The sequence below is a fragment of the Homo sapiens genome, chromosome 6 (genome assembly GCF_000001405.40).
Source record: "Homo sapiens chromosome 6, GRCh38.p14 Primary Assembly".
NCBI classification, from domain to species: domain Eukaryota; kingdom Metazoa; phylum Chordata; class Mammalia; order Primates; family Hominidae; genus Homo; species Homo sapiens.
This window is the reverse complement of record NC_000006.12, coordinates 47,107,074-47,113,491: the sequence shown is the minus strand read 5'-3', so window position 1 is coordinate 47,113,491 and position 6,418 is coordinate 47,107,074. Positions and strand designations below refer to the sequence as shown.

Genomic DNA, 6,418 nt, shown 5'->3' with positions numbered 1-6,418 from the left:
GCTGGAATTACAGGCGTGAGCCACCGCGCCTGGCCTAGATAATCAGTTTCTAACATTTATATCATGAAAACCTTTCTTAGACTAATCTTCTGGGTTGAGAGAGTAGCCAGAGTTCACCATTTACTTCACCAGTGTCTCTAAAGGCTTAGGTATGGTAAAGGGCATTCAAAAGAACAGTGAGCTGGCCTTAGGGAATCTGAAAGTCTCTCCCTCTCCAGTTTAGTGGTTTACTTTGAACATTCCCAGCCAGGAAGTTATCTTTTCAATAAATCTGGAAAATTTGGAGATGGCCTTGGCACCTCCATAAGGGTCTGCAAAGATTTCCCAGTCAAGAGGCCTGGCAGGAAACTCTGGGATCTGGGGATATGTGTGAACCCCATTCTGAGTTCATGTGTTCCCAGCTCATGGTTCTAGGACATAGGGTTAAAGCTGTGGGGTCTGGGGAAATCTGGGTAATGTTGTCAACATGAGTTGCAGACCCAGGCTTCCTTTTACCTCACGTTATCCGCTCCTCATACCCATGTTGTGGGTGCACCTCCCCGCTGGGGCATCTTCAGGGGGGCTTCACTCACCTTCACTCTGTCACTGACAGCATGCTTTTTGGGGACTGTTAGTAAGGGCAGGGTAAACGTTTGTCCCTGGGGAGCCTGTTTGGAGCAGCAGTCCAGTCTTATTCAGTGGGTTTGATGGTCTGTCATGGGATACTCACTAGATTACATCTTCATCTTAGAGGTCTTTCCCACAGTTTCCAGTCACAAGACTGGCTGTTCATTGGGGAGAAATCTCTGGGAAGGCTAGGAGTAAAGCTTTGCCTCTGTTATGCTGCTGGAGTCCTCTTTCTATCCAGGATTAGGGGCTCTGGCTTTGGAAGAGGAATCCCAAGGCAAAAGTAACAATAAAAATAATGAAAATGTTTACAAGTGTGCTTGATCAGGGGACATGAGTGTGCTGCATGCATGCTGTGATGATCTGATGTAATCCTTCTCAACACCACCATGAATAATAAACTATTATTAGTTTCATTTTCCTGATATGAAAACTGAGGCTTAGCGCTACCAAATGACAAAGGGATACAGGATATGAACCTGAAGGACCTAAGCTGCTTAGAAAGAAAGCCTATCTTAAAAAATTGCTACTATACATAAAAGTGTCATATTCTTCTGACCTTGCCTTTGATACTCAGCTAAGAACAAACCAGTTAAGAGCTTTGCGCAAGCTCCTTGATATTTTAAGAGGAAGAAGAGTATAATTTTTCCTCAAGCAATTAAAGAAAATCTCCCTCACCTCATAATTCATTGAAGAAAATGTAGGAAAATCAGCAAATTGGAAGAGAGAAAAAAAAAAAGAAAAAGGGAGAGAAGGGGTCACCATTCTACCACTAATATTTTGAGATTTTGGGGGGTAGAATGTATCTAAGGCATCATGTTTGAAGGATAAAGATTAAAGTAAAAAAATTAAAAACGCTGTGGTTGAAACTCAAATTACTTCCCTAACCCTGCTGAGCATGTGTAGCTTGCTCAGAAATTCCAGTGGGGGCAAAGGTCAGCAGGTTATACACACTAACATTAGAAAATATGTGTGTGAAACAGAAAGGAAAGGAAGTCTCAGGATGTGGAATTCTGCAAGTTGGTCTCATCTGGCTCAGGACAGTTCCATCCTGGCTCAGGAATGCAGGTAGAGTTCTGGAGCTGGCATTTATTTGCATTGGAGTCATTTCCTAGGATTTTCACAGCTTTACATGTTTGTAGGTCATCTAAGCAAAAACTGTGGATATTGGTTGTGTTTCTGTCAATGAAAGAGGGAATCATACTTTACAAAATTTGAATGTGTGTAGTCAGGGGGAGAAGAGTCAAGAAGATTGATTCTTCTTGGGTCGAGATACAACAGAAAATCTTAAATTACTTGATACTAAGTCCTTGGAATACAGCCCACTAGCAATCACCATTAGCAATCCTGGTGAGGTGGGTAGGTGGAGATAGGAACCAGTAGGACTGAATATTTTTTTCCTCATATATTTTGCTCAATGTCTTGTCTCTGAGCAACTTTCACATCCTGATTCAGACCTCAACAGGCAGATAATTTTTGCTTCGGATTATCTTCTATATTTTGTGTCATGAAATTTCCTGTGGAAGACAGAACAATCTACTCCCTTAAATTTTCTGCAAATATAAACTCACTTCCCTCTGAAAACAATTTTCGAGAGTTCTTTTGTTTCCTCCATTGTGATAGAAAATTGTGAGTTTCCAAGTAAGAATAAAAACATATTTTTTTGAGACAGGGTCTCACTCTGTTGCCCAAGCTGGAATGCAGTGGCACGATCGTGGCTCACTGTAGCCTTGGCCTCACGAGCTCAGGTGATCCTCTCACCTCAGCCTCCTAAGTAGATGGCACTACAGGCATGCACCACCATGCCCAGTTAATTTTTTTTTTTAATTTTGTGTAGAAACAGGATTTTGCCATGTTGCCCAGGTTGGTCTCAAACTCCTGGGCTCAAGTCAAGCCACTCTCCTTGGCATTCGAAAGTGCTGAGGATTACAGGCATAAGCCACCTTGCCTGACCTAAAACTTTGTTTTTATTTCAAAAGATATAATTAAGGATCCAGGACATAGAAACATAAAATAAAGGACAATGAAAGGTGTTATAGGTCTCAAAATGGCAAAGAATGGTTGTGTTAGAAGTAAGAGACAATCATGTGGACAGGATGCTCAATTGGATGGCCCCATGCTGTATGTTTTTGAAACTGTGGGTCTTAACCTTTTAGTGGGTTGTAAAATTAATTGATTAGATTATGACCACCATTTAAAAAATATAATAGAAAATATCAAAGTGCATTGCATGTAGGAAGGTTATGTACTATTTCATGGGCATTTTTTTTTCAGCTATAACCGCAGGCACACACACAAGCATATGTGATGAGTTTCATTATAAAATATATTTCTTCTCATGGATTCAACCAAAGAAGTTTGAAAGATGCTCCATTAGCCAAAGTAATCTATAAAATACATCTTTTTTTTTTTTTTTTTTTTTTAGACAGAGTCTCACTTGGTCATGAAGGCTGGAGGGCAGTGGTGCAATCTTGGCTCATTGCAACCTCTGCCTTGTAGTCCCAGCTACTCAGGAGGCTGAGGCAGGAGAATTGCTTGAACTCAGACTACAGGCACGCGCCACCATGCCTGGGTAATTTTTGTATTTTAGTAGAGACGGGGTTTCACCATGTTGCCCAGGCTGGTCTCGAACTCCTGAGCTCTGGTGATCTGCCTGCCCTTGGCCTCCCAAAGTGCAGGATTACAGGCATGAACCACCACGCCCAGCCAAAATAGATCTTTATTGGTATCATTTATTAAATGCCTAAAAATTGTCAGGCCCATTAATAATAATACTTTAAAAATCTTTTTAGGAAATTACAATTATAGCACTCCTAGTACATGAATCAGCCAGAAAACTGTCTTCAAAATAACAGCAAGCATTTATTGAATTCCGTTAACGTGTTGGGCACGGTGCTAAATCTTTTTCATGCATTTTCAAATCTACCTCTCATACCGACCCTATGAGGAGGCTACTATTATTCTAGTTTTTCAGAAGATAAAGCTGAGGTTTCCAGGGGTCACACAGCTAGTAGAACTCAAATCTATGTCTGTCTGGCTTGAGAGCCAAAGCATTTTACCACCATACTACATTAGTTTTCACGAAATAAATTTCTTATGGGTCTTTGCAATTTGTAAAATCTTCTTTGCTTTCTGACTTTTTGGAAATGTTCCTAATTTAGCTCTAGGACAATTTAATCCACTTTTACCCCCATAGGATGTTGATAAGGGATATTTCTGTGGTTTGCGGTGTGGAGGGTAGGGTGATAGTAGAGAAAGTTTATTAATGATCTAATCCTAAAGAACCTGTTCCCTCCTCTTCTTACAGAGTAAGGCTCAAAGTCTCATATTCCAAGGGAAGCCCTCCTACCCTTAGACTGTTCACTAAGTCTCAAATTCTTAGACTCCAAGGGAAACCCTCCTACCCCCCCGGGAATAGTAGGGATTCCCCTCATTCCTCCCTTCCACCAAGAATGAAGTTTCCTCCCTAGCAGCAGAAACCAACCAACCACACAACAAGAAAAATACAAATAGGAATTCCAAATTTTGGAGTCCCTGGCACTAGAACAAATTTCTCTAGGTCAGAGATCAGCAAATCTTTTCTGTAAAGGACCAGTAATATTTAATATTGAATATAGGAAGTATTTTGGGTTTTGTGAACCATATGGTCTCTGTCACATCTCTGTCACAACTATTCAATTTTGCTATTGTAGTGCGAGAGCAGCCGCAGACATACTGAAGTGAATGAGTGTGGCTGGATTTGATCTGTGGGCTGTGGATCGCCAAACCCTCTTCTAGAGCTTAAAACAGAATCCTCCCTAATGACCAGTTCAGAGGAAGAAGAACATAATTTTGCTCTTTTTTAGTTTTATATCCTCCTTGAATACTTTTGCACTATGTGTGCCTATCTTCCAATAGCTAGGGGAAACCATCATCCATCTCCTCTTCAGAATCTTCAGGAACATATTTTGTCTAAAGCATTGTAGGGCTGAGTCTTTATTTTTTGGATATGTAAAAAACAAATGAACACAGTGTGAGGACAGATGTCTCCACCAAGAGATAGCCAATATACGCTTCATTACCTTTCTCTGTCTCCTCTCTCTCTTACACAATTGCATTACATATATTATTTACGGAAACATTATACATGCATTACATATATTTACAGAAATATTTTCCTTATATAGATATGTAATTTATGATAAAAACATACCAAAAACCTTAACAGTTAATTCTCTCTCTGCTTTTGTTTTTTTTTTTTTTTTTGAGACAGGATTGCATTCTGTTGCCCAAGCCAGAGTACAGTGGCATGATCATAGCTCTTTGCAGCTATCTTGTGGGTAGCTGGGACTACTGGTGCATGCCACCATGGCTGGTTAATTATTTTTTATTTTTTTGTAGAGACAGGGTCTCACTATGATGCCCAGTCTGGTCTCGAACTCCTGGCCGTAAGTGAACTTCCCAACTCAGCCCCCAAATTCTTCATGGCAGAATTACCAAGGGCTCTTTTTATTACCTTTAAAAACTATTTTCTAAACTTTGTGTAAGGAGCATATATTAATTTTATCCTCAGGAAAAAGAAAGCAAATAGCCCTTTATCATTTGTTTTCATCTTAGTATTTATGTAGAGGAAGGAGAAAGGGAGAAAAAATGTTGACATGCTAGAAGGAAAAACTGGGGCTCCAAAATCTTTTCATACTCCATTTTCACAAAGGGGTGGTTGGTTGAAAACACTGGGGAAACATAAAGCCAGCACTACATTTCCTTTCTGAAATCCTGGAAGGAAAGGCATGGAGGGGGTAGAAGTCGGGGCTGATGAGCCATTTGCCCACGTCCTACATTCGCAGACAGAAAAGAGACTGCTTTTGATATTTGAAGGTGGGGACATGGATATTTAAAATAAGTGCTTTCTGCATGTTTGCTTGTTTTGCCTTATTTAAAAGTGCTACTGGCCAGGTGTGGTGGCTCACGCCTGTAATCCCAGCACTTTGGGAGGCCAAGGTGGGAGGATCACTTGAGGCCAGGAGTTTGATACCAGCCTGGCCAACGTGGTGAAATCCTGCCTTTACAAAAAATACAAAAATGAGCCGGACTTGGTGGCGCAGGCCTGTAATCCCAGCTACTCAGGAGGCTGAGGCAGGAGAATCGCTTGAATGCAGGAGGCAGAGATTTCAGTGAGCTGAGATCATACCACTGCACTCCAGCCTGGGCTACAGAGCGAGATTCTGTTTTTTTTTAAACAAACAAACAAAAAAAAGGGACTACTGACATTCTTCTGCTTCCCCCAGCCTATGCTGATTTCAGACAGTCTAATTCTCTAGACCTCGAGACAGCATTTGTCCACGAGTCTCGTTTCAGGTGTTTTGTTGAGGAGAGGTGAAGGGTTAAATATGGAGAGGACAGGGTAGAAGGAGAAAATGGACAGAGGACCTGGGCTCCTTTATCCAGCTCAACCAACATTTGTTAAGTGCTCACTCATGGCCAGCCACTGTTCAGGGTGATAAGAGATCAAAGAATAAGGCTGAAACCCTGTCCTTTGGAAGCACTGTCTAATACAGCTGTCCTTATCCTCAATTGCACATTAGAAATACATGATAGCCTTTGATACTGTTGCCAGAGCGCCACCCCAGACCACCTGATCAGAATCTCAGGGGTAGGATCTGACCAAAAAAAATCAGGCTAGTTGACTCTAATGAGTATGCAGGGAAGGTTGGTCTAAAGGCAAAGGCAATCTACGGCCATACCATCCTGGACGCACCTGATCTTATCTACAGGCAAAGGCAGTACTGGCCAGTCACAGCAATTCCACATGCTTGTGCTATGAGAGGAATGT

General features: G+C 41.3%; 1 annotated feature.

Moving 5' to 3' along the window:
• Positions 245-414: an enhancer, noted in NCBI's record as "experimental_92032 CRE fragment used in MPRA reporter constructs". NCBI's record gives its function as "activates a minimal promoter by MPRAs in K562 erythroleukemia cells, with activity observed for both the introgressed and non-introgressed 6:47080899 variant alleles {active_cell/tissue: K562}" and the evidence as "EXISTENCE:reporter gene assay evidence [ECO:0000049][PMID:34662402]".